The sequence below is a fragment of the Homo sapiens genome, chromosome 12, assembly GCF_000001405.40.
Source record: "Homo sapiens chromosome 12, GRCh38.p14 Primary Assembly".
Taxonomy (NCBI): Eukaryota; Metazoa; Chordata; class Mammalia; order Primates; family Hominidae; genus Homo; species Homo sapiens.
In genome coordinates this window covers 16,542,850-16,570,257 of record NC_000012.12, presented here as the reverse complement: position 1 = coordinate 16,570,257, position 27,408 = coordinate 16,542,850, and the positions used below count along the sequence as shown (strand labels likewise).

The following is a 27,408-nucleotide window of genomic DNA, read 5'->3' as shown; positions in this document are numbered from 1 at the left end:
GCCGATTTTTAGGAAAGTATTACTTACATAAAAAGTTTCACCTAGAAAACCCTATTCAATTTTAAGTAGACAAAGCTTTCTGAAACTCATTATAGAATAGACTATCACAAAAAATTCTTAAAAGCTTTTATTATGAAATTGTGTAAAGCATATTCCAATTAGCATTAATTGTACTGTGGCTGAAACTAGCAGCTTCCTGAGCTATATCAAGGGAGAGATGTGTAGTATCTAAATTTCCCACGATATCTAAAATAGTTGTAGATTTTTATGCTCGTATAATTGTGGCTGATTGGCCTTTCCTTCATTATAAACTTACCTTAAAATTAGAACAAGGAGCTATAGTGATTAGATAAAATATTTGTTTCTATTACTTTAAAGATATAGTTAAAATATTTCTGTTTTAGTACATATGTGTTATCCTTTATTTTACTGTTTCTTTTTCCCTTCTCCCTTTTAATACTCTAGTTCTTTCCATAACTATGTCTAAAAGTTTGAAAAATCCTGTCTTTTAAATATCAAAACAATAAATAGCAAGCTTGACACATTTCTTTTATTCTAGCAACAAAAGATTCTTTTCAGATCGAAGATTTTGTGATTCTATGAAATGTTGGTACAATTGCCATATTTGCCTGGAAATATTTTTCTCATCAAATGTTAAGGGAAAAACATTCTATTTTACTTTTCTCTGCATAGCTTCTCCCAGTAGGCTGCTGTGCTGATCATAAATAGCAGTAACACCTGCTCGTAAGGCTTTGGAAAATGGGTATGAGAAGAAATTGACAATTATTTGTTGAAAGGGAAAGTATAATGTTTAAACACTGTTTGCAACTTTTAAGAGTCAGGTGTAGAAAGAGACATGATGATTCTATGTAGACCAGCCATTACCCTCTGTCAGTCCAGAAACCTAGAGACTTTTATTCAAAACAACCCCTTCTTGCCCCATTTTTGCAGGGAAAAACAAAGAAGTATAGTGAGAAGGAAAAACAAATTTGGATAAGGGATATAGGTTCTCTTGCTAGCTCTGACACTAAATAATTGTGTAAGGTTTTGTGTGTAGACATGGGATATTTTCTGCTCTCTATAGCAGAGCTAAGACAGGGCCAATTAGCCCAAGCGTCAACCCATTTTTCTTTACATATTGTTGTTGCTGTCTTCATGGAGCAGGAAATGGCAAGTTTAGAAAGGAATTAACACTGAGTAAGCCTGAAACTGGAACAATAGGTGGGGCATTGTCATCTATTTCAGATTATGAGAGAGCTATAATGATTCACACTATTAGCATACATATTTTTAAGTTTCAAGTTAGAAAAAAATGTCTCTGGCCTGTATTTTTTCTTATCTTTAAGCTTAGAACATTATAAGAGAGATTTCTAGGATGGATTTCAGTTAGAAAATTTTGGATCTCCATTTGTTTCAAAGTTATAACTGTCATATATCCAGGGATGTAAAGAAAGCTGAAGCTATAGACCAGCACTGTCCAATAGAAATAGAATGTAATCCACATATTAATTTTAATATTTCTAGTAGCCAAAGTAGCCAAGGAAAGTGTTTTAAAGGTGAAATTAGTTTTTTAAACAACGTATTTAATGCAATGTATCCAAAGATTACCATCTCAATGTGTAATCAATATTTTCAAAAATTATTCATGAAATATTTTTCTTTTTTGTGCTAAGCTTTGGAATCTGGTACATATGCCCCACTTAGAGCATCTCAATTCAGACTCACTACATGTCAAGTAGTCATTAGCCACATGTGGCTGGTGGCTAAAATGCTGGTCAGCACAGCAATAGACAGTAAGTGAATGGGTACTTAGCTTGGATTATGAGTGGATTGGAGGTTGGGGAGAAACCAGCCATTTGGTAAAACTGAAAGATCCACATCCAGAGTATGGAGGGTATTGCTTTTCTGTTTTCTATGTTTCTCTGAGTATCTCAAGTCTAAAACAATCTATTTTGAATCACAACCTTCAAACTGGAATGGATTCTGTAATTGTTTATGGCAGGTATTTTATACAGATTATTCACAGAGCTTGACTTGATTCTTCTGTAATGCTAGGTTCTTACAAGTCTTGTGTAGTTCTAATGGGAAATCAGGTTTCCATTAACATACAATACCCAGAGAAACCGATGACAATAACTTTCACCAAGATCTCTTTCCTCACCTTTAGTATTCCTTTTTATTTTCTATTGTTGCCAGTGTAGTACTAAGTCTAGATCTCAAGAATTCCAAAAAATCAAACAGTTAAATATTCTTTCTCCCTCCTGTTCAGGGATAATTTTTACCTGTAATTTTATTACCCCCACCATGTTGTTAAAATGGGTCAGATCATGATCGCTACTCAGTAAGTCCAACTAGTGGTTGGCGGATCTTAGGAGTGAGCCCTCTGAGTGGGCTTGAGCACCCACTGCTGCCTGGTGGTGTTCTGTCTGATTGAAGGAAGTGTGGAGTTTTGCCTGAGTGTAGGAGAGGGATGATATTCTGAGGATTCTCTTAAAATACCAACTTACCAAACATGAAGCTTCTATCATCCAAGCTGTCATCACCCATCCAGGCTGTGTAGGTTTCTCTACCTACTCCACCTAACCTCCACCAAGCAGACTACTACCATATTGGTCATTTAAAAAATAGCCTTTAAATAAACCCTGATCTTGACCACATAGAGGCTTCTGCTCACCCTCTAACATCATCCCACGATGACCTTCTTTCAGCTCCCCGCAGTTCTCTACTTGTGAAATGCCATGTCATTCAAGTCCTGCTTCAGCTGGTTTGTCTTCCCCAGTCCTCCAGCACAAGCCTACCAAGTGATGTACCATCCTCCCCTTTATTGTAGAGCACTTCTCGTATTCTATCCCTGAGTTATCCTTCTCACTGGTTGCCTGGCAACACACACCCATAGTCCACTGAACATTTCCCACAAAGTACCTTGCACGTAGTAGGCATCTACTTTCATTAAAAAAGGTTCATTGAACCTCAGCTTTCTCTCAATACCATGAATTATTGCTGGGATTTCAGGTACCAAGTTGTAGTTTTTTGTTTGTTTGTTTGTTTGTTTGTTTGTTTTGAGGTGGAGTTTCACTCTTATTGCCCAGGCTGGAGTGCAATGGCACGATCTCAGCTCACTGCAACCTCCGCCTCGCAGGTTCAAGTGATTCTCCTGGCTCAGCCTCCTGAGTAGCTGGAAATACAGGCGCCTGCCAACACACCCAGCTAATTTTTCATATTTTTAGTAGAGATGGGGTTTTGCCATATTGGCCAGGCTGGTCCCGAACTCCTGACCTCAAGTGCCAAGTTGTAGTTTTTAACATATATATATATGACTATGTAGCATGGGCTTTTGGTAGTTTTTTACTGAAATTGTAGTTAGGCACTTAGTAAGTTTAACTTAATTCTTCTTCTCTTTCCTTTTCATTCAGTGTAGTATCTGCCTATTATGTGTGTATGTGCATGTTTGGAGAGAGAATGAATATATGTACTATACATGTATATATTTATACGTTGAACTTTCAGCAAATGGCTTTTATGTTTCTGTTTTGGCATGATCTGTATGTGTTAATAAAGAAAAATATTATTTACAAAGGCTGAACTAAATAAGCTAGAGTTAATATAGATTTAATTATGAAATAAATAATCTCTAAGGTTTTAAAATAGAAAATGTCTTTTCTTTAATATATGGTCAACTTTTAAGCTTTTTTGAAAATTTCTTTTTTTAATTAGCACCTTATAATGGTACATATTTCTAGGGTACAGTCTGATGTTTCAATGCATATATATTTTGTGTAATGATCTAATTAGGGTAGTTCAAATACCCATCGCCTCATACATTATTTATCATTTTTTTGTGTGTTGAAAACATTCAAAAGCTTCTCTTCTACCTATTTTATAATATACAGTAATTTACTGTTGCCCATAGTCACCCTACTGTGCAATAACAGAACACCAGAACTTATTTCTCTTAACTGTCATTTTGGCCCCATTGACCAATCTCTCCCCTTCCTCCTTCCCTCTCTGCTCCCTTTCCCAGTCTCTGGTAATCACTATGCTACTTTCTCCTTCTATGATGTCGACTTTTTATTTTAGCTTCCAAATGACTGAGATCATGAGGTATTTTTCCATCTATGCCTGGCTTATTTCATTTAACATGATGCCCTCCAGGTTCATCCAGGTGGTCACAAATGACAGGATTTCATTCTTTTTTATGGCTGAATAGTACTCCATTTTATATATATATATATATATATATATATATATATATATATATATATATATATATATATGGCACATTTTCTTCATCCATTCATCCATTGATGGGCATGTAGGTTGATTCCATAGCTTGACTATTGTAAATAGTGCTGTAATAAACACGAGAGTGCAGATATCTCTTCAACATACTGATTTCCAGTAGTGGGATTTTTAATCCAGTAGTGGGATTGCTGGATCATATGGTAGTTCTGTTTTTAATTTTTTTGAGGAACCTCCATACTGTTTTCTGTAATGGCTGTACTCATTTGCAATCTCACCAACAGAGTGTCAGTGTTCCTTTTTTCAGCCTTTTAATCTTAACTTCAGGAAAATTCAAAATCATCCATGAAAATATTTAATATGTGGTAGACCTAACTGCAACAATTAGAAACACAGTTCAAAATAATGTTAAACATTTATATTTTTATATGTACATTCTAAAATGTTCAGTGTTTTCTTTTTTACTTTTCTTTAACTTTCATAATACATTTATCTCTATGACAGTGGAGCACATGCTGAGAACCCAAAAAGAGAAAGAACAATAGACTCAACTCTCTACAGCCTGTAATGGGCTAACTTTTTAAGTTGAAAACAAAAGAATTGAATGTTTAAAGTGTTTTCATTTTCTATCACTACCTTCCTTAGTTGAAAAAGTAAAAGAAGAAAGTAGATGAGAAGCATGTTTGTAATAGACAAAAAAGCAATTGTCCTTCAATCTGTGAAAATGTTCATTCCTTCCCACAAAACATATTCAATAAAACTTTTCCATCCAACAGTCAAAAGTTAAAAATCTTTTCAATTGATTGCAATTTCATAGTCTTCGAAAGCCAAACTTTCCTTTCTCTGTTCATCTGTAGTTATTCTATAGTTTTTTTTAAAGATAGGATTATAACTAAACTAGTCTTATCCTTAATATTTTAACAAATACTAGACCGGGCATAGTGGCTCACACTATAATTTGATAACTTTGGGAGGCCAAGTTGGGAGGATGGCTTCAGCCCAAGAGTGTGAGTTCAGCCTGGGCAACAGAGAGAGACCCCATCTCTACAAATTTTTTTTTTAAAAATTAGCCAAGTCTGTTGATATGCACTTGTGGTCCCAGCTACTTGGGGAGCTGAGGCACGAAGATCACTTAAGCCTAGGAGGTCAAGGCTGCAGTGACTCATGGTCACACCACTGCATTCCAGCCTAGGTGACAGAGTGAGACTCTAAAATAAAATAACTTCTAAATTTATGCATATTTATCTCATTAAATGAGGATTGCTTGACTACTGATCTGATCTTTACTCAGAATTAAGGTTTACTGCAGTGACATATTTGTGCATTTTCCTCAAATATTAAATTACTTTGAGTCAAATACTATGCTTTACATAGCTTGGAGGAATTTGATTTAGTGACTTGAGCCACTGACCTGGTTAAAAAAATCTATAGAAACATCTGGTGCTGTGAAATAAAAGACACTAATACAATGAACACTCATTTTCCCCTGATGCCTGTAGTAAACCACATTCATTATTGCTATGTTAAATGAGTATATGTCTTGAGTTTTTCCCTACCCCCAGTCCGCAGGAACGTTAGAAATGGATATACACTAAACCATAAAGAGTTTGCTTGCTTTATGGCAATGTTGCCGAAGCTGTTGAACATTTAGTAAAAATGCAAAATGTTCTGGCACCTTTAAAAACATCTAAACTTGTTTTGTCTTAGTTCTTGCAATGCCACCCATACACAAAAGTTATTAAATATTTCTCTGTGCATGCTCACTACAGTGTGGCAGGTGTAATACAGCATACAGGTAGGCCGTGTTCTTACCCCTAAGAAAGTTAGAAAGTTGTCTGTTTGATTTTTATATTCATGTCTGTTTTTAGATAGACAAAATGAGGTAGTGAAAGCAAAAAAATGGAATAGAAAGGGGACAGAAACATCTCTGGGATTTCTACAGATATTAATAGTTATATGCACTGATATTGTATGGCCGGTACTTGTCACCTTTTACATTATAAGCCTACTTTTGGAAGTGTGTCAGAAACAAGATAAAGGTCATATTGCTTAAGGCCTACTATGAACATAAATGATAGGGAAAAATCTAGCCCATAAATTGGCAAATTACCATGTATCATGATTTAATAATCTATAAGACATCTTAAAATGAGCAAAATAGATCAATGAGCTTATTTTTTTCCTTACCGTAAATGTATAAGCTGGTATGCTGTGATTAATTTAGATCAAAATTTCAAAATGACTTCCTTTTTAAAATAATGCTTTGTCTGTCTCAGTGTACGACTAAGAACTCTTAGGCCCTCTTATCTAGAGGATGTGACTGTACAAGCACTACAAACAAGAATTTACAAGGATCTCCAGCTTAAATGGAAAAGTGGATCTATGATAACTTTATAAACGAGTGTGGGAGTAAAGAGTGCAGAGGAAGAGGTTACAAGAATTATCAGGATTATGAGTACTCAAAATGAATTAGATAGTTAAGAGACTGTTTTTAAATATTTCCTAGGCACAATCTGAAAAAAAATCTTACAAAGGAGAACTATGCCTGTCTTATGCTTAATTGACATATATGAAAATTCTTTTGCCTCGAAACCCAAATGTCATGTTTGGAAACCAAAGGATAACATTATACATTTGAAAATCCCATTTTATAAAATAATACTTTGTTTATTTTCCCAGAGAATCCTGGGTTTGTCCCACTGAGAAAAAAGAGAACTCGAATGTAGCTATAGAATGATCTCTTGATCCTTGGACAAAACTGAGGAAAAAGTCTAACAAATGCATCGCTTTGCAGTAAATTAGATCAGATTTCCGCATCTCCACACTCAGTCTGTGAGCTGACAGTTCAGTAAAATGTTCCCTTGTAAGATTCGCCCTCTTAGGAAAAGGGGCAATAATTCATCATTAGGATATCAGAGTCCAGGTGTAGATGGAAACTGATGGAGCCTCCAGCGAGGCAGGGAAAGTGCGTGGAAGAAGAAAATTTTATCTGAAGCCTAATTCCCTGGTTACAGCAGAGAATAATTAAGATAATATTGCTTCAAGAGTCCTTTAATGATTAAAAATCACATATGCAGAATCCATAAATTGGAGGGCAACAAATTGGAAGGCTATAACGTCAGAGAACTGTTTTGTGCACATTGTAGTGGAAAGTACACTGGTAGCAGTGCGCCGTACGGGCAGCCATCAGAGACTCGGACCATTCCAAGGACTTTGTTTAGATGCAACAAATCATTTGTCTGTTATTAACCCAGAGCTTGTAATTATGCAGATTGCCATAGATTTTCCTGGGCCTGGAAGTGAGATTGAGGGTTGTTCACAGTATAGCAGGCAGCTCAGGGCTGGCCATGCATTACTGAACTTGCCACATTTATCATGTTGACTGATGGCAGCAGAAGCAGGTCTCAGGTCCCAGTGGTTAATGTAGTGGGTAATTAACTGTCATTTGCCTAGTAATAGGCTGATGATCAATGGTTTGTGTGGAAACAAATTCTAATCAGGTAGCTGATAAATGCTCAGCTAGCGAGAGCAATTGAAATGGGGGAAAACTACGTCCAGAATTTCAAAATGGCATTGTGTGTATGTTTATTAGATATGAACAAACTGAATAATTCTTAAAAACGGCTTTATCGCATGTTAACCAGATGTTATATACACAAGTATATCTATATTCATTGAATAAAGAACTTTTAAGTTTTTCTTATTTCTCAAAAATAATAAAGAACAGAAGAAACAATGGCACATGTAAGTGATCTCCTAAGCAGATCTCCTAAGCAGATCATGTTAAGTACACTGAAAAATAAATATGAAATGTTAGAATGAACTAAAAAATTCTCCTTACAAATGAATAGGATGAAAGCTTTAGTTGGTGATGGTTTCATTTTTGATGATGCCAGTAGGAAATTAAGATATTACATTTTCGAGCAAGTTCTTTCTTTTTAAATAAATATTATTTATCAAAATACAGATTACAAAAGGAGAACATGAAGGTTACTTGGGTTATAGTCCTTAAAATAAGCATACTAAAGTATTTTTTAATTCATTAAGGAAAATAAGTGTCTAACAATTATGAATTTGATCTTCTTGAATGTAAACTTCGCTTACTTTTTATCAAGTGCACAGACTATGTTAGCAAAGTCTTTAAAATGCATTTATTGTTTCTACCTTCAAGGCGCTTATGCTCTTCAAGAGACAATCCAACAAAAATATGAGCATAAACATTCATTGCACATTTTGCCAGACACTTAGAAACCATTCTCACAACTGTTTCCAACAACTGTCATTATCCTGGTAAAAGGAAATAGTTATAAACTTGAAAATGAATATGCATGCCTTAAGAAAAGACTTCTCTTTGGAGTCTACAGAAAGTAATGAGAGACTTCAGCACATTTGTGCCTAATCCTTAAATTCAATAAAATGAAAGGCTAAGGTTTTTAAAAGTACATTTTTATAACCAAAATGAGTTTTCTCTATAGCACCTTTGAATTCATTAGTTTAGAACTGCTTTTAATTTGGTCTTTCCCATGAGAGCCATTATATTTTCCTCCTGTCAGCCTGACACTGGAGAAAAAAGAAAACTGGCAGATGTGGTGTTTTTCATCTAGTTTGCTTCCTAGTAAAAAAGTGCATTAACTACTATGCATGGAATATTATTTGTAATAATTCTTCCCCTCCATTATCAACTTTAAAGAAACTTGGTTTAAATATTGCCAGTGCAAATGGATAAAATATTTCCTCACGTTATGAAATGAGAGACATTTTATTTTGTACTTCTTTTAGGTCATTACAATAACGATTCTCAGGAATCTGCAGCAAATAGGAATTTTTTTTAAATCCTAGACAATTCCAGTGGTTCTGACAGTATATTATCCTTCAATTTCTGGTCTAGCTATATATAGTTTACAGCCTCATTTACTTTAATGTGCTACTTGAATAACATAATCATAGCTATAACTATGGTATAGAGCCATAAGGTGCATGCATGCGCCTCTATGTTTTTTGACTATTTAAATGGCTTCTTCATAAATGTATTTTTAATAATAATGGCAAACCTTTTAGTAACTAAATGTCAAAAAGTAGTGAATCATTCATTAGTTGGTTCCTTTCCCAACTAAAATGTTTAATATATAACATTAAGAGCAAAGTTATATTGCTTTTATATTTTCTATATACTCTAACCCAGAGATTTTTGCTATGAATTCACCCCCATTGACTTCTGTTTATGTGCAGTTACGTAAGCTTCCTAATGTATTTGTCTTTTCCTTTTCTTCTCAAACAAGATGTGATTTTCATCAAGGAAGGTCAACGGAGAATATATTGCAGAAGAATATTTATGCATACACCTAGGATAAAATCCACTTGTGTACATCATAAAGCATTGTGTATTGTAGCTTTACAGAGTATATTAACATCATCTCTCTTCACGATCTCAGATTTCTCTGTAAGAGTTTGTAAAAAAAAAAAAATGTTTCTTATTCTAGGCTCTTTGGTGTAACGGGAAACTGCGCTGCCTGTAGTAAGCTCATCCCTGCCTTTGAGATGGTGATGCGTGCCAAGGACAATGTTTACCACCTGGACTGCTTTGCATGTCAGCTTTGTAATCAGAGGTAAGCAGGTCTCTTTTTGGTCTCTAAGAAATGGTTAACCTCTCTGTGCTGGCTATTTATTTAATAGGTGGAAATTATATTCATACATTTAAAGCAATCAATCTCAGCGTTTTTCTGTTCTGTAAACTTTAATCCCATGCCAGAGACAAGCTACTAAGGAGAAGAAAGGTCTTAAGACTTACTTCTACCTGAAAGAAAAGCATCATATAAGAGCAAGTAACAGAAAATGGAAACACTACCGTAAACTCTGACTTCTTTTACTCATTCCTTCTTTTATTATTTTCCTGTCTTTTTAAAAGTAGTTTTAAATATCTACTTTTTTATACTACTTATGTGAGTAAATAAATTGGCAATGAAGCAAATATACAGGAATTTGTTGCAGGTATTTTATATTCTTATTATTTTTTATATTTTAAATTCCTTATCCCTCATGTTTTTGTTTTTGCTTTTTTAAATACAAGGTCTGGTTCTGTCACCCAGCCTAGAGCGCAGTGGCACTAACATGGCTCATGCAGCCTCAACTTCTGTGCTCAAGCAATCCTCCTGCCTCAGCCTCCCGAGTAGCTGGGAGTACAGGTGTGCACTCCCATGCCTGGCTAATTTTTTTTTTTTTTCATTTTTTATAGAGATGATGGAGTTTCACTATGTTACCCAGGCTGGTCTCAAACTCCTGGCCTCAAGCAATCCTCCCACCTCCACCTCCCAAAGTGCAGGGATTATAGGCATGAGCCACCACCCCCACCCAATCTAGCTGTTTACCTTAAATTTTAACCCTGTCCTATATGTACTTTTGCAGTTACTTCAAATATCTTTGAGAATCAGTCCAGATATAGCTAATAATTAAACAATTATTATCATTGGAGAGGAGCATTTGAAAAAGTGTTGAACAGGGAACCTGGAAACCTAAATTCTAATATGGGCTCTGCCACTAATAAGCTGTGCGATCTTAAACCAAACAAACACCTTCCCTCTCTGGACCTCAGGTTTTTCATTTGTAACATATGAAGCTGGATTAGTTCATCTCAGAGAATTCTTTCAGCTGAAAAGTATTATCACTTAATTCCATTTTTTCTTATTGAAAGTTATATTTTTTATTTCTGTGAAAACTATATACTACTGGCACCTGTTTTATATGATAAATGGAGAGGATTTTAGAACATTAAAATGTACGTATTAAAAATACAACATTTCAAAAATTAGAACACTTGATAGATTTTAATGAAAATGAATTCACTGACTTTCTGTGAGAACACCTGGCAGAGTATATAATCAATAAATATTAGTTGCATCAAGTTCTCAGTTATTGTAATTTACTCTGAAAGGTACTATTTGATGCAGAATCTTCTTATGAGACCCTGTAGAATAGTAGAAAGAATGTGACATTTCTAGTGAGAACGGGATTCAAATTTCAGCACCACCATATATTAGCTGATATATTAGCTGTGTGATCTTGAGTATGTTACTTAATCTCTCTGAATTTGATTCCCACACCCATAAAATAGAAACACTAACACCTCTCTTGCAGAGTTTGAAACTTAAATGAAATAATTAATTTATATTAAATGTCAGGAACACAACAGGTTCTCAAAAGTTAGTTATCTTTATAATTTACCAAATAATATTCCATTAACTTGACTTTCCCACAAGGCATGTATCACAATAGTGTTTCTTGCTAAATGTAGATATTCAGATTGTTGCCTAATGTACCTTATAATGTAATAGTTACCCAGACAGTCATGTAAGATGTTATCTTACAATGTCTTGACTCTTCCCAGCAAGTACTGAGAATCAAAGTAAGTTCATTCAGTCTAGGGTAACATTTAGACGAAAATAAATTGGCAAATGCACATGTTTTTGGTAGGGATAAGGATATACAAACACAAACATTCCCACATCCATACAGACACCTTTATGTGCATGTATATATGTATTTTATACATTTTAAAGGTGTCTTAGTAGTAAATTTAGAATACTTTTGTTGACTTGTCATGTTGATCAACTAATAGCAGCCAGTAACCATGCAGTTCCCATTATGGAATCATAAAGTCATTGCTTTTCTACTTATAAAAGATTACATATTCATAGTAGGAAATTTAGAAAATAGAAAATGATAAAAACAAGACATTGTCCCATGTCTCATTCTTCTAAAAGAAAACATTTTAATATTTTGATATATAGCCAGCCATACATGTTCCTATGTCTATAGGACAAATGACATTGTATAAATATTACACTCACATTTAAGCAAATTAAAGTTACAAGGGAGAATCCTAATGTTTGATATTTGGACTTTTTCACTCAATTTATATTTTGTGCCTTTTTTACCTGCCATTAAAAATTCTTTTAAGATATTTTAAGCTTTTCTGAGTTCAGCTTTATGGACAGAGCTTCACATATGTCTTCTATCATCAGATATATAAGTTGTATCTTCAAAAGTTTTTGTGCTGTAAATATTATCAGTATTATCAATATAAAAATGGACCTTATGAGACCCTGTAGAATAGTAGAAAGAATGTGACATTTATAGTGAGAAGAGATTCAGATTTCAGCACCACCATATAGTAGCTGATATATTAACTGTGTGATCTTGAGTATGTTACTTAATCTCTCTGAATTTGATTCCCACACCTACAAAATAGAAACACTAATACCTCTCTTGCAGAGTCTGAAACTTCAATAAAATAATTTATGTTAAATGTCAGGAACACAACTGGTTCTCAAAAGTTAGTTATTTTTATAATTTACCAAATAATAGTCCACTAACTTGACTTTCCCACAAGACATATATCACAATAGAGTTTCTTGCTAAATGTAGATATTCAGATTGTATAAAAACAAATGCTCATATCTCTATCTGGTTAAATTCACAGAGCATGATTACTTAAACAAGGTATATAACAGTTTGAAGGCATATGCTGTACATTGCTTAATGATCTCCAGGAAAGTTATACCAATTATTCTCCTAGCAGAAATCTACAAAACTACGCATTCCCTCACATTCATTCTAAAACACTAGGAATTACGTTTAAAAAAAAAAAAAAAAAATCCTTGCCACCTTAAGGGATGAAAGATAGTATTTCATTATAATTTCTAACTGGCATTTATTTGATCCCTGGTGGTCCTTTGGTATTCCTTCTTTTAGAGAAGTAGGCAGTTTATGTCCTTTGTCCATTTTCTTCTATTAAGTAGGGTTACCTATTTTATCCATGTTCTACATAGAAAATAAAAACATTCAAGTGCTAAACCCAGCCTAAATTCTATTATGATGCAAAGTAATTGTAGGTTGTTAATGCTATTTACAAATCATATATCTATTTTATTTCACCATTGAAATAAAAAGTTGCATTCACAATTAAGTCTGTCTCCTCAGGAGAACTCAGTCAAGTAAGACAAACACTCCTAAATTTTGACTCTAAAACTGTTCACATTCTTATTGCTGCGAAATACTATTCTAGTATCATTATTAAAGTACCTAATATATTTCTGTGTTCGCTTCATTTATTACATGCCATAATGGGACTGCATATCTTTAGTGCCGGTTATGCACAATTAGCACTTAGTTATTGTCTTGTCACTTCAGCCCCTACAAGACAAACTAATGCGGGAAGTCAGCTAATCTTCATCAGTCAAGCAAAGCAGACAAATTTTGTTACCCAGGATACAGAAGGTTTTCATATAGGAGATTCTCCTTTTACTCTGAAGTTTGCTTCAGTCTCCTCCAGGAAACCCATATCCCACTTCCAGTAGCCAAATCATTGTCGCAATATTGCACTTTTCAAGTGAAACACAAGGCAAATAGGTAATTCATAGGCATTTTCTCTTAAGCAAACTTTATTGACGTCTAAAGTTGTGGAATTACGCGTTTGTGAATTGTATTCAGCAGTCATTTCATCTTTACCTTTAAATCAAAGTATCATTAAGATCCAAAGCATTTCTGAATGTTTTAAAAAGTAGCAGTAATAATAACCTTTCAGGATTGATTGTCCCTTATATATAGATCTCCTCTGCCCCTTTTAGAGGCGTATAGCTAAAACGTGAATCCTGCATTAAAATTCGGCTAGTTTCTCTATTTTAAAAGGTACCGCAGGAGGGTTATTTAAGCTTATTTTATGATATCTTGAATCTCATTCAGAATTGGAAGATTCTATATAACAGGTTAATTTCTTAAAGGTGAATAAGCCCCTTCTCCTTAGAAAACACAATAAAACTAAATGATAGTTTTGTAAGAAAAGGAAAAATAAAAAGCTTGTGATGAAATTTTCCCAAATATGTAAAATTATGTAACAATTAATTAATTTTCTTTTTTTTAAGAATAAAGCACTGTGCTAGGCTCTGTGGAAGCTGAGGTGGATAAAATCTGGTTTATTTCTTAGAGGTGTCCGGAGCTACGGGAGAGACAGGACATCAAAGACTCACAGAAGAGTGTAATCGATGCTAAATAGAGCTATACTGAGGGAAGAGAGAGCCATCCTTCTTGAAGTGTTAGGGAAGCATCAAAGGCCTGATATGCTGGGTCTTGAAAAAAGAACTCCCTAGAACTGGTTGACTTACAGGAAGTGTGTCTGCTCGGGGTTGGGGAAGATGAGGGAGCCAGGGAGCAGTGAGGAAAGGAATTTTCAGGCAAATTGAGCAACGTGCAAAGGCATGCAGATGTGAAAGCATTTGACGTGTTTAGGAAATGAAAAGCGGCTCAGTATGTTCAGAGATTAGAGAAGCGGTTTGGTAGGCACATGGAGGAGTAGAAAGAGAGCAAGCACCTAGAGGAAATGAAATTGTAAACTTAGTCTTTGAAAAGCCATTAAATAAAAGTCAAAATGAATACAAATTTAAATTAGTCATCTAAAATACATTTGTTATTTAAAGCTGTTGGTTTCTGGAATAAATCTACCTTAACCAATTTTTATTGACCACACACCTTAAGTGGTAGTACAGTTTATGATGGTTCTGCAAAGGGTTCAAAAGAAATATAACTCGTGGTCATTTACCGCAGAACTGCTGACTATAATGGCAAACCAGTTACACATTCATGAGAAATTTTGAAACACCAAAATAAACAATACACCAATAAATAAGTGCTTTGGGAAACATCAGAATAAGCAAATTTACATGGTCAGAAGATGTTGATGGAGGCAATGGGAACTCAAGGATTGTTACAATTTAAGTAGACAGAAAAAGGGGAGAAATATTTCTTGCTAGGGAACAACTTAAGTAAAGGTGAAAAGATTATCATTACCAAATAATAATGATAGCAAATTCTGATAAAGTATTAGTCAAACACCAAACACCGTTCTGAGTGTTTTACATGTACTCATTCGTTTAATACTCAAAATATCCCATAAATAGGTAGTTATTAGCTTCATTTGACAGATGAGGAAAGTAAAGTATAGGAAATGTAAGTAACTTGCCCAAGATTACAGTTAGAAGAAAGTGGTAGACTCAAGATTTAAACCTGGCCGGGCGCGGTGGCTAATGCCGGTAATCCCAGCACTTTGGGAGGCCGAGGCGGGCGGGCGGATCACGAGGTTGGGAGATCGAGACCATCCTGGCTAACACGGTGAAACCCCGTCTCTACTAAAAAATACAAAAAAATGAGCCGGTCGAGGTGGCGGGCGCCTGTAGTCAGAGCTACTGGGGAGGCTGAGGCAGGAGAATGGCGGGAACCCGGGAGGCGGAGCGAATCTGGTCTCCCTCTCCGGAGTCAGGCCCATTTCAAGAGAGGTATTTTATTTTCTGACTAAGAGCATATAAATGTGAATAGATATAGTGGACTTAAAGTAAGGTAAACTTTGAATAATGTATAGCAAGATTTGGGGTGTGGGTAGTGTCATTTGATACACTAAGGGTTGTTAGCAGTGAGATGTATAATGACAACCGGACTGTCAGTGGGAAAGACAGTAAATTTGTTCACAGGTGTATAGTGGAGGAATGAGTACACAACCCGGACTTCTTATTGAAAACAGTATAGTATAGAAATCTCTAACTTACAGTTAACTGAAGATGTGGAATAGGAAAGTATAGACACTAGAAATATGGATTGGAGCTCCCTAGCTAAGTGTTGTAAGATAGAAATTAATCATAATTGTCAGTCACTAACATTAGGGAAAGAAGATGGCTAGGCTAACATTTTTATTTCTTAAAAGGGATGTTACCAGTGGAGGCTTCTTAGCATAGGCTTTTGATAACCTGCTTAAAACTAAGCACTATATTTTATAAGGATGATTTACTATTTACACTTGTTTCATATACTTCTCAAGTCTCTAAGACTATATGAAGTCAGCTAAATCACTCAAAAATATCTAGAAATTACATCTCATATTAATTCCAAAACATCAGAATTAGATGGTTTAATAATCTAATTGGGCATCTTCTTATTCCTTACCATAATTTTTTTAAATGAGGGTAAAATTAATTGAACTGAGCATACTACAAGTAATTAGGGTCAGATTACAAGAAAGATTATGTTTATTTTTAGTAATTGTAGCCTGTTAATATACTTACAGTATCCTCTGGCTATCACTCCTTTCATAATGCTTTTTTTTTTTTTTCCTGCAAATGCTGAATCTCATAAGAAGTTGGTTAAATCACACTGGAAATTAGCATTTCTTACAAAATCACAGTTACAGATTAATTTGTTAAATACATACTATCTGTATTGCTGTCTCTGAAATTTCTTTATATTTATATATGAAGCATTTTTTAAAGAGGATGTCAACCTTAATTGCATACCAGTCGTAATCTGCTCTTAACCACAGCTTTCAAGGCTGTTTTGTTTGAGTCATATGTGCAAGTGTGACATCCCTCATCCATGTTCGTTTCATCTTGACCTTTAAGTATAAATTGAAATGCATATAAAATGCACTTTATCCAGTTGATAACATATTAGTAATAAAATATGTCAGGTAGGAATATTTTAGAAAAGTTCTGTCTCTCTCTCGCTCTGCCTCTGTTGCTCTATATATACCACTTAATTGAATAGTAGGCAGACTTTTTTAAAGTTATGCAAAAGAAATAATAGTAATACAAAAAACACAGTTACACCCTGTATAACCATTTAATCTTCACATTATTCTTGTAGCCTGCATGCTTTACTGCCCTCAGGTAAAAGCTTGAGTCTTGAATCCAAAAAGGCCTGGGTTATTTTTCTTCCTTTACTATAAACGTTTTAACTACAGAATCTTGGGCAGGGCTTTGAAATTCTGGCACGGAGTCTTAGGTTTTTCTTCTGTAAAAAGCCATGACAATGCTTACTTTCTAGGTTGGATGTAGGGAATAAATGTGATCATGTACATACATGCTTAGCATTTAGCACATGGTAAGCATAAAAAGGTGGCTATTTTACCTATGTTTCAAACATTGAGGTAAGATTTTAGATATTTCATTTCTACTCCTTGCCACAAGCCTACAAAGTCGACTGATGTCACAGGTATTAAAAACCAAAGTTTTATTTTCAATTATCATAAGTGGGAAGGTAGAGTTTGGACCCTACTGGTTGCAGTATACCTCTCTGCCTTTCAGACACTTTTCATTTGATAAGGATATCAAACTGGCTTGCACAAACACCATTATTGAAGTGCAACATTTAAAGTATACAGGTTACAACTAATACAAAGAAAATATACTTAAAGCCCCAAACTTGAATGTTCATTGTATCCAGTAGCTTTGACCACAAACAACCCTAGGATTTCAAGATCAGTGCATAGTCTGTGCTTTCAATCAACATCATCAGCAGGCAGTAATCCTGGGGAAAAAAAGTAAATTCCACAAATAGACCAATTTTCCTTTAAGAGGAAAGCTAATTCTTTTCAGTCTACTTTTTTTATTACACTATTTTCCTCTCTATCTACTTAGCTAGTATAAGGATAAATTTCCAAAGCTACCCAGTTGGAAAAAAATAGGTTCACTGTTTGTCTAGCATTCCAATCTTTGCAAATGTAAATCAGTCCAACTGCTCCTCATTTAAACCTTCAACTTCACAAAACATTAAAGGGTGGCTTTCACTACACAATTTAATCTATCCACTAAGATTTCTGCTGGAACATCATTTGAAATTGACTATCTGATAAAGAGAGACTACTATCAAAGGTCATAGAGGTCAACTTGTATAATTACAAGTAGTTTTACTGGGTCAACTCTACCAGACACCACTATTTGAAGGTTAAATTGTTACAATTAAATATATATACAGATCTCCCCAGAGTTACTTTATTGTTAAATGTACCAGAAACAGAAAAAACATTTATTTCTGACCTTAATTGTGTCCAAAGTGTCACCGTGGGGAAATCATACAGAAAGAACACTTATTAAAAACATTGCAGTCTTGCACATTAAACAATGCTTTATGAAATAAAATGCATAATTAGCTATTGGAAACTAGTTTAGTTTATCACATCAATATTAAGTAGTTCATTTAGGTTACTCCCTTTGGTTGAATTGGAAGTGCTCTAAGAAATGACATCTACTATTTCATGTTGGTGAACTTGCCACAAACAAAGGAAAATGGCTCAGCATCAGAATCTGATGCTAGAGCAACTTTCATTTCAGAATGATCACTTCTAGATTACTAACATTTAATCACATTTTAATAACAGAGTAAAAGAAAGCTTTAAATGGGAAGCTTTAAAATAGGCTATTTTCTAATTGTTTGATTCATTTTAATGCCTTTTACTTTTTTATTAAGTGCCTAAATGGCCAGAGATGAAATCATCCATAATTACTGCAGTGAAACATTATTATCATTCTTTCTTTTATTTTAATGGGTGTAAATACAGATCAGTTCTTTTTATTTTTTTTCTTTCCAGTGTGGTTTAAAAAAAAAAAAAGCAAGTCATCTTTGGTGCCCAAAGTGTTTATCTCAATATCCTTAGAATTTTTGCATGCAAAGGCAAGATTTCAAATGTGTGCAACATTTCATTAAATGAAGTAAATGGTAAATGGTCTAATTCTGATAATGAAGACAACTGTCTAAGCCAGGTTTTCAGATTCAGGGAATTACCATGCGAAACTATTAATAGGAAAATAAATCTTCAAATTTCTAGATCCAAGTGAAATGGTCTTAACCACATTTTATTGTTTAAAATATTTTCAGATTTTGTGTTGGAGACAAATTTTTCCTAAAGAATAACATGATCCTTTGCCAGACGGACTACGAGGAAGGTTTAATGAAAGAAGGTTATGCACCCCAGGTTCGCTGATCTATCAACATCACCCCATTAAGAATACAAAGCACTACATTCTTTTATCTTTTTTGCTCCACATGTACATAAGAATTGACACAGGAACCTACTGAATAGCGTAGATATAGGAAGGCAGGATGGTTATATGGAATAAAAGGCGGACTGCATCTGTATGTAGTGAAATTGCCCCAGTTCAGAGTTGAATGTTTATTATTAAAGAAAAAAGTAATGTACATATGGCTGGATTTTTTTGCTTGCTATTCGTTTTTGTGTCACTTGGCATGAGATGTTTATTTTGGACTATTGTATATAATGTATTGTAATATTTGAAGCACAAATGTAATACAGTTTTATTGTGTTACCATTTGTGTTCCATTTGCTTCTTTGTATTGTTGCATTTAGTACAATCAGTGTTTAAACTTACTGTATATTTATGCTTTCTGTATTTACCAGCTATTTTAAATGAGCTGTAACTTTCTAGTAAAGAATTGAAAAGCAAATCTCACTAATGATACACAGATAGATAAAGCAAGTCTATCAACATTAAAAATACTAAAAAATAAAGACACACACAGAGCATTTTAGTGACATCCACTACTTATTGCCGCTATGAGTTAGAGTCTATCAGTGTTCTTGTTATAACCCCCTATTTTCAGGGGGTTAAAAATCAGCTTTAAAAAAATACATAAAAATTTCATCTTAAAGCACTTTCATTTTATACCAACGTGAAAAGTGCCATTTTTAGAATAACTTTAAAGCTTAACAGGTTTCCTTTTAATATCCTTTTTTTGTGTGCTCTTTACTTACACAATGGCTTTGTTTTGCTTTTTCAGCCACACCCCTTATGTGAACTAGTGCCTTTGGGTATCACGTAAAATTTTTTCCAAAGGGTTACTTTAAAAATCTGTTACCACAATTATGAGATGATTTTTAAGTGATAAATTAAACTTCTTCTTGTATAAATTCTGCCCAGATCTCTCCACAAGAGCTGAGGGTTTCATAACTTTATGGCTTAATAAATGTATGACACTGAAAAGATTTGAGTGTGAATCTACTGAAATCACTATAATGCACATTGAAGCTATGATGGTATTTGAGTAGTGAGGTTACTTTTGATCGGAGCAACATAATGCTCATAGAATCTTCTAGAAGAAGAGAAACAAAGGGATTGATAAAATGCTGAGAACTAGTGATTATATATTTTTCTGTATTTACCTGACATTTATTTTAATGTTCAAAAAGTAAACACTTTAAGTTTGATGTGTTTTACTCTCTCATTGTTTTAAGTAATTGCCAACTCAGAATACATCATTCTTAGGCTGAAATTTGTCTTTCCATTTTTTAAGGTGAAATAGTACTACCTTACGTGATAGCATACAAAGAAGAAAGCTCTAGAAAGAGAAATTATGGAGAATGATTATTTAAATTACAATTAAGGAAATGAGAATATGATCCCCTCTTCCGAGTTGCCCACAAACTTGCTTCTTTGCTTTTGCTCCCTGTAATAGAACTACTTTTCAACAAATCTAATTTTGCACGGCACCGTTAACCATATTTTCACTACAGCAAACTTAGTGCTATGGGTTTTCTTTTTCTTTGTTTTTTTCTTGATCACTTGTATAGGAAACAATATTTTCCAGTGTTATTTGCATATATATTTTGTCCTTCCAATATATGCATTACAGATGAAAATTAAATGTTATACCTGAATTCTTGGGTTGGGGCCAAAATATTAAGCTGAAAATAATGCTGGTGTGGATTTGTTTTAAAACAAAGCTTTATTATGAACATGCATGTGAATCTGGATATTGCCTCTTATTTTTAAGAAAATGGTTCTGTGAAAAGTGAATGATATGTATTTTTCCAAATGCTTCATGGTTAGGAGTCTTCAAGTTCCATGTTCCCCAGATTTGAGATATACTAAAGAAAGAAATTCAAAAGTAGCTATTTGGGGCCCACAAAAATAACTATTATTTTAGCCTTAGAGCCTTACACTTGTTTCATGAAGAGAAAGGACTTGCATAACCAAAATAAACAAAGCAAGACAAATTAAAAATATGTGGGGGAGAGATCAGTGAAAAGTGGTTTTCTTAATGCAGCCCTGCTGGTCCCCATTAACAATTGCTTGAAATTCACATGGATGTAAAATTATAATTGTCAGGATCTTATTCAGATGATCTTTTAAGGTTTAACTGGTTTTGCTTTTGTTTATCTATATGTCAAAATACTTGTAAATTGGGAACAAACTTCTCTCAGCTTCTTGAAGTTGTTCAACTATCCTTGCCACTGGAAGACCAAACAAGGTTTTCACTGCTTTTTCTTTTACATAATATGCTGAGAATTATTTCTTATGCTTTTTACTACAAACAAAATTACTCACCTGGATTAAAGATTAAGGCCTTAATCTGTTTAGATTATCTTTAATCTCCATGAAATCGTGAAATAAGACAAGAATAGTGTTTCAGCTGTAGGCCATTTTACAGCTAATTGCCCATAAATTGTAGCATTTATTGACCTGAAGTACTAAGCTAATTGTCTTGACTACTCAAAGCCCCTGAATTGTTGTCAACTTTCCCCTTTGTGTTGTGTAGCCCTAACGTCATTTAGCTTGTTGTCTGATGCCTCCAGTAGGACACCTCCGATGGAGCTTTGATTTCTGAGCAGCGAAAGCTCCCTTCCTAAGATGCATCTCGCATAGGCTGCCTATGATGAAGGACCGTGCACCTCCACTCCAACAGAGTGCTGAGTTTAAAAGTTGACCTGTGTTTGTAATTTCACTTTCATCTTGCTTAATAAATATCTGCTGGATTCTTTCATTCACTTTTTTACATTTGGATTTATGTTTTTAATAAAAGGGGTGTTACACTATTTGATTGCACTTAATTGGCAAAATTTAAGATGATCTCTAGAAAGCATATGTTAAGTCCATGAAAAGAAAAAAAAGGTGTGTAAGGACATTTACTTTCTAAAGCTAAGTCATAACAAGCATAGACAAAGCACCCCAAATGTTTCTCTGAATGTAATGTTTAGGATCTCTGCGCTAGGTCGTTTACCGCTATTTATTTTTATGGGGAAAATAAAACTCTCAAAAATGAAGGTAGCAATTGCTGGGTGTAATTTTGCACATTTATACAAATTTTAGGTGATCTTTCTGAAAGCAACTCTGTTGCTGTTGTCAGATTAAATTTCAAATTTTCTATTCTGTATAATGAATTAAAACAGGAAACTCAATTCTACATTTTTACAGAAGAGATGTTGCACCTTAACTGAAACAGGGCACTGAAAATTATATCTGTAGTAAAACATGCCATGCAAAAGTGTTTTCCTTTTAACTATCACTTTAGGCAAACCACTCTCTGAATCATCACTTAAACAGTTTCGTAGAAATTATGTAGGCCAAACATGTTTAGTGTTCACTTCAGTAAGTTGCAAAAACAATCTGCATGTTTATTGTAATAGGCCATTAGCACAAAATACAATTTTAGCAAAAGCCTTTTTGATCATTACTTTTTCTTAAAAACATTGTTATATTTTTTAAATGTGGTTTTAATGTAATTTAAGGTAATAGAAAGCAGAGATTTAATAGTCATTAGTTTAATTGACATTTATTGCGCACCTACTATGTGACAGGCCTCTCCCTGAGCATTCAGCCTCCTGTTGGGCAGACTTAGGGTTGGCCTAGATCAAATAACTTTAACATGTCTTTGCACTGGTTTGTGCTCATCTCCAACCTGCTAATAATGAGCACACAAAAGCGAATAGCATCTTCTACCTCTCCAGCATGTTATTGATATGAAAGCCCCAGAAAATATCTCAAGTAATCAATGTGTTCAGAGAATTATCGCACACAAATTACTCATTAACTCAATAGCACATGATAAAAAAGAACATCAATTAATTAATGAGTCACCCTCAGATTGCTATGATTACAATAGAGCTCTGTTGAAATAGCGGTTATAAATGAAGCTGCCTCTCTTTATTCGTTGTTTGCAACTGGTCCATTATTTGGCTGAAACCAGTGTCAAGTTTAACACATGCCTGTAGGTAATTGTGTGATTAGTATCATAAACGAAGATTTCAGAATGCCTAGGGTTTATAAAACCTTATGAATGGCCAGAAAAATGAAGAAAATTCATTTTTACTAGAGCTTCCTTTGAGGCCATGCTATTAGAAAAGTATTATTCAGAAAGGTATATTTTTACTTTTATAATCAAGATGTAAGACTTTCGTGTTGAACAGTACAAAGAATAGCTGCTAAAACACTTGAGTCAATTTTACAACGCTTTAGTATACACACGATTTAATTTCAGTAACTTTTCCTGAAGACTAAAATATGCATGATCATTGCCAGTTTTGCATTTTGGTACCACAAAATGACATTTTTTTGCTTTTGGCAGGCTTGGTTGGGGTGGGTTTGTGGATAATGACAGCAGTAGGGGAAGGGATTTAAAAAAATACCAAACCTGACATAAAAAGTCACCAACTAAACTTTCCCAACTATCTTGGTAAATGCCATTCCAATAAGCTTATAGAATAATTACAACAGTTCCCTTAGGTAAGTAAGAAACATCTGTTGGTAACACATAGCAGGTGTTAACAATTACACACACTGAACTTTTTAAAAATGTTTTTAATTAAAAGAATTCTGTTTTCTGAAAAGGAAAATATGTTAAATTCAAAGATACTCCTGTTTTGGGCGTGCAGATCACGTAATGCACAAAATTATAAAGACCAAATCATCTTGGATCAACTAGGTTTTGTGTTTGGTTCAGATCATTACATTCAAAAGTGAATTGGAATTCTCTGCACTTTTTACACAATTGGTATTCTGGACTCAGAAGCTGAATACTCGAAATTGGTATCACCGGGGTGATTACAGAATATTTTGGCTTTACGGGCAAAGTGGTTGGCATTAACTATACCAAATTTAGTGGCCATAGTACAAATTAAAATGGGAACAAGAGACATTCAGATAATACATAATCAAAATCTTTTTTCACCCTGCTCCTGGAGAAGAGTTTAAATCACCTAAAGCAAAACAGTTCATTTGAAACAGGTAACATTTTCATATGACCCATCTTCAATAACTTTTAGTAATAATAGCGAATATTTACCAAACAATTGCCATGTATCAGGTAGTTCTGCACACGCATGTAATTCCCACAACACCCCTGTGACACAGGTACTATTAAAATGAAAGCACAGCCAGGTTACTTAATTCGCCCAAGGTCATAGAGTCAGAAAGTAGTGTGCCTATTTAAACACAAGTTTTCTGGGTCTAGTGCTTTTCACTCTACCATATCATCTTTTATATTGTTGTCATTATTATTGTCACTATTATTTTTTCTAGCTCCTGGGAATAGCCAAGAACTAGGAGTTATTTATGCTTGAGCAAAAATTCCAAACATATCAGAGTTAATATTATCTTTAAAGATAAAAATTGGGAATGAGAGTGATTATATTTTTCTAGATGCAATCTGTTTGGGAGCTCTTTCTTTCAACCATAACATGAAGGCATTTATTTGAGCCTGTAAATCTAGGGTACCAAGAATAGAGGATTCTTCATATAGCAGTAATGAAAACAAGAGTGGTCAGCATCGACGTGAGGGTACACTGAAGTAAAAAGTTGCGAGTTTCAGCATAAGGATAAATATGCCATAATAATGTGAGGCTACAGTCTCAGAATCAAGATAATACAACAAGTATACTATTTGTCTTTGGTATTACTTCCAGAATGAGTATGTTATTTGTCTTTGATATTTTAAAACTTCCAGAAGATGAGATGAAAAAAATTAAAGGCCCTAGAAAAACTATATATGTCAGAACTGTGGGCACCCACCCTGTGTGTAGCAGCATACCAGTCCTCTTTAAGTGTTATTTGCCTGAGAGACATCGGTGCATAAAATATAATGTTTGCTGCTACTTATTCTTTGTTTAATGCCCAATTTATTAAACATACAACCCTAATAAATACAATTTATCTCAACATTTGAACACCATTTAAGCAGCTAATAAAGCAAAACTTGTAAATTTAATAAATCAGATTCAACCATTTAAACATTGATTAGAATCTTAGTCTAATTCTTCTAAACATTTTACTAAAATCCCATGTAATAAGTTTCAAGTACTTTAAAAACAGACAAAAATTCTCACAATGGGCCATTTTTTAAATATACTTAAAGCTGTAAGAAAAATATTACTTTAATTTAAAATTTCTATATTTGTTTTATATCTTTCTAAGATTAGTAATTCCTTTAAAAATTTAGAAAATAGTGTGTTTGCTAAACTTACAGGATCTGTGTTATTGACGATATGAACCTTGGTTGGGGCACAAGAACTAGCTATGCTGTCCAAAATGATGCAAACTTCAGCCAGTGCACATCAAGTTAGCCGATAATTTAATAGTCATCCTCCCTATCACATCAATGGAACTTTCATAATTCCAAGTCTTTCATATAGGTTATAATTTTTCATAACCCAGTGCTTTTTCCCAAATTGACTAGAATAGTATGTATGCGATTTTAGTATCTCATTATAAGCTATAGGATTATTTTGATATTTTTGTCCCCTCAGAAATAAGGACTTGAACCTATGTAGTCAAATTTCCTGTTAGATATTTGGCTAATTCTTTTTCTCACACAAATTACTGGACCACTTCTGAACTGATTATAATGCATTCCCAATTGTATTGATTAGCACTTTGTGTTCTTGGCATGGTTTGACTTAATTCTCTACATTTACATTTAATCTTATCTACTTAGAAAATAGAGATGAATACAAATTGATGCTATATAAGTAAATACACATTCAATAGAAGAAACAAGCCACATATATCATATTTGGCTTTTTCTCTTTTGTATGACAACTCTTTTGTATGCATTAACATTAACTCTTCCCCTTTTGAGTACAATTGTGGACCCATAGCTTTTATAGACCCTGATGCAATGCAGGCAGATTGACTAGTAGGTTATGTTTTGTGTGTGTGTGTGTGTGTGTGTGTGTGTGTGTGTGTGTGTGTAGTTCTTACTTAAGGTGTCAATTTAAAAAGTTTGTTTTGAAAGACAATACCTTAGAAAACCAGAAATCCAAAAATAAAAGGCATGAGAAAAACGCAGTGCAGCACAGTAAGATGCTGTGAACTGTTCCAGAAAGGAATACTCAACCTGAAAACTGCAGCGACCAAACAAATGTGTATAAAGCAGCAGTATAAGAAATCACCTGCTTACACTTAGGAAGAGTATGAGTGTTTTACACTAGTTGGACACTGAGATGTCAATAAAGAAACAGAAGAATAAGTCAACAGCTGAGATGATGACTTAAGAATTTATCCCCAGTCTTAATTAAGGATATTTGACAAGACTATATTTTAGTTATTATTTTTAAGGTTAGCTTGATTACTGTTTAACTCAAAACACAATTTTCTTAGTCTCAATTCACCCTTACATTTTTCCCATTGAAACTGTTTGAGACTGTGAACATCTTGGTTAGCAACATCAGCTTTGCCATCAGGCAGAAAATGATCTTGAAAATATTACTTAGCTTTATATTAGTAACAGTTTTCTCATCTGTAAAATGGAGGTAATACCTACTTTACAGCATTTTATTGCAGATTAAATGAAACAATCTAAGGCAAGCATTTAACATAATGTCTGATACATAGTGTTCAAGTTATTAGTACCACTATTATTTTTATTAATCTCAAATTCTCTAAGAGTCATTTATGTGCTAATCTGCATTGGATGAGCATCAGGCATGGTTTATGCTCCATTAGGTAGACATGGGCCAAATAATAACAATTACAGATGAGCACTCAACAAGCAAACAAGGCAATTTCTTCTAAGTGAAATACTGAGATTCAAAGAGGACAGTAAATTGAGGATTCAGGCCGTAGTCAGAGATAGTGGATGGTAAAGCATTTTTTTAATTGCCTTCTTTTGGTCTCAAAAAAAATTTGTTTTGAGTTCCATGTATGTGTCTAGCATTTATACTGGGGAAGCCTCTGCTTCTGATATTTAGCAAGATGAACTCAGTAATCACTATATTCATGTAGTGAGTCATTCAGACATTTATTGGGCACCTTCTGCATGTCAGATTCTCAGCCATGTTCTGTGAGGAATGTAATGAAGAGTCCCTGCACTTGAGGAAGACAGGCAAACAACTGTTAACACAGAAGGTAACAGGTAATAACTGAGGAAGTAGAGATATCTACAAAGCACTGGGGGAGCACCCAGGAGGAAGTGATTTATTCTGTCTGGGCACATTAGAAAAGGCATCACAATTGACATTTACCTTTAGTCTTGAAGAACCATCAGAGGATGGAGGGAATGTGGGTGTTTGTATAGAGACCACCCCTAATCTAAGTTTACTAGCAATTAGTTTCATGGTGACTC

The 27,408-nt window shown here is 34.2% G+C and overlaps 2 protein-coding genes across 17 annotated transcripts in view, besides 2 other annotated features; one reads left to right on the top strand and one right to left on the bottom strand.

Moving 5' to 3' along the window:
- Positions 1 to 21,886, top strand: part of LMO3 (LIM domain only 3) — a 61,803-nt gene extending 39,917 nt beyond the window's left edge. For all 16 annotated transcript variants that reach the window (NR_045014.1, NR_045013.1, NR_045012.1 and 13 more), the window contains 2 exons: positions 9,720 to 9,845; positions 18,931 to 21,886. Coding sequence is in view for 13 of the 16 variants with exons in the window: in XM_006719111.3 (XP_006719174.1) it covers positions 9,720 to 9,845; positions 18,931 to 19,036 (232 nt within the window). In the remaining 3 variants the exon portion in view is untranslated. The remainder of the gene's footprint in view (positions 1 to 9,719; positions 9,846 to 18,930) is intronic.
- The window catches only part of MGST1 (microsomal glutathione S-transferase 1), a 246,217-nt gene that overhangs the window by 23,074 nt on the left and 195,735 nt on the right, over positions 1 to 27,408 (bottom strand). The window lies entirely within an intron of this gene.
- Positions 6,832 to 7,877: an enhancer, noted in NCBI's record as "VISTA enhancer hs336". NCBI's record gives its function as "enhancer in: neural tube[4/7]" and the evidence as "EXISTENCE:transgenic organism evidence [ECO:0001131][PMID:17130149]".
- Positions 18,826 to 19,327: an enhancer, noted in NCBI's record as "NANOG hESC enhancer chr12:16703865-16704366 (GRCh37/hg19 assembly coordinates)". NCBI's record gives its function as "activates a minimal SCP1, AML or CMV promoter by ChIP-STARR-seq in primed H9 embryonic stem cells {active_cell/tissue: H9 hESC(primed)}" and the evidence as "EXISTENCE:reporter gene assay evidence [ECO:0000049][PMID:30033119]".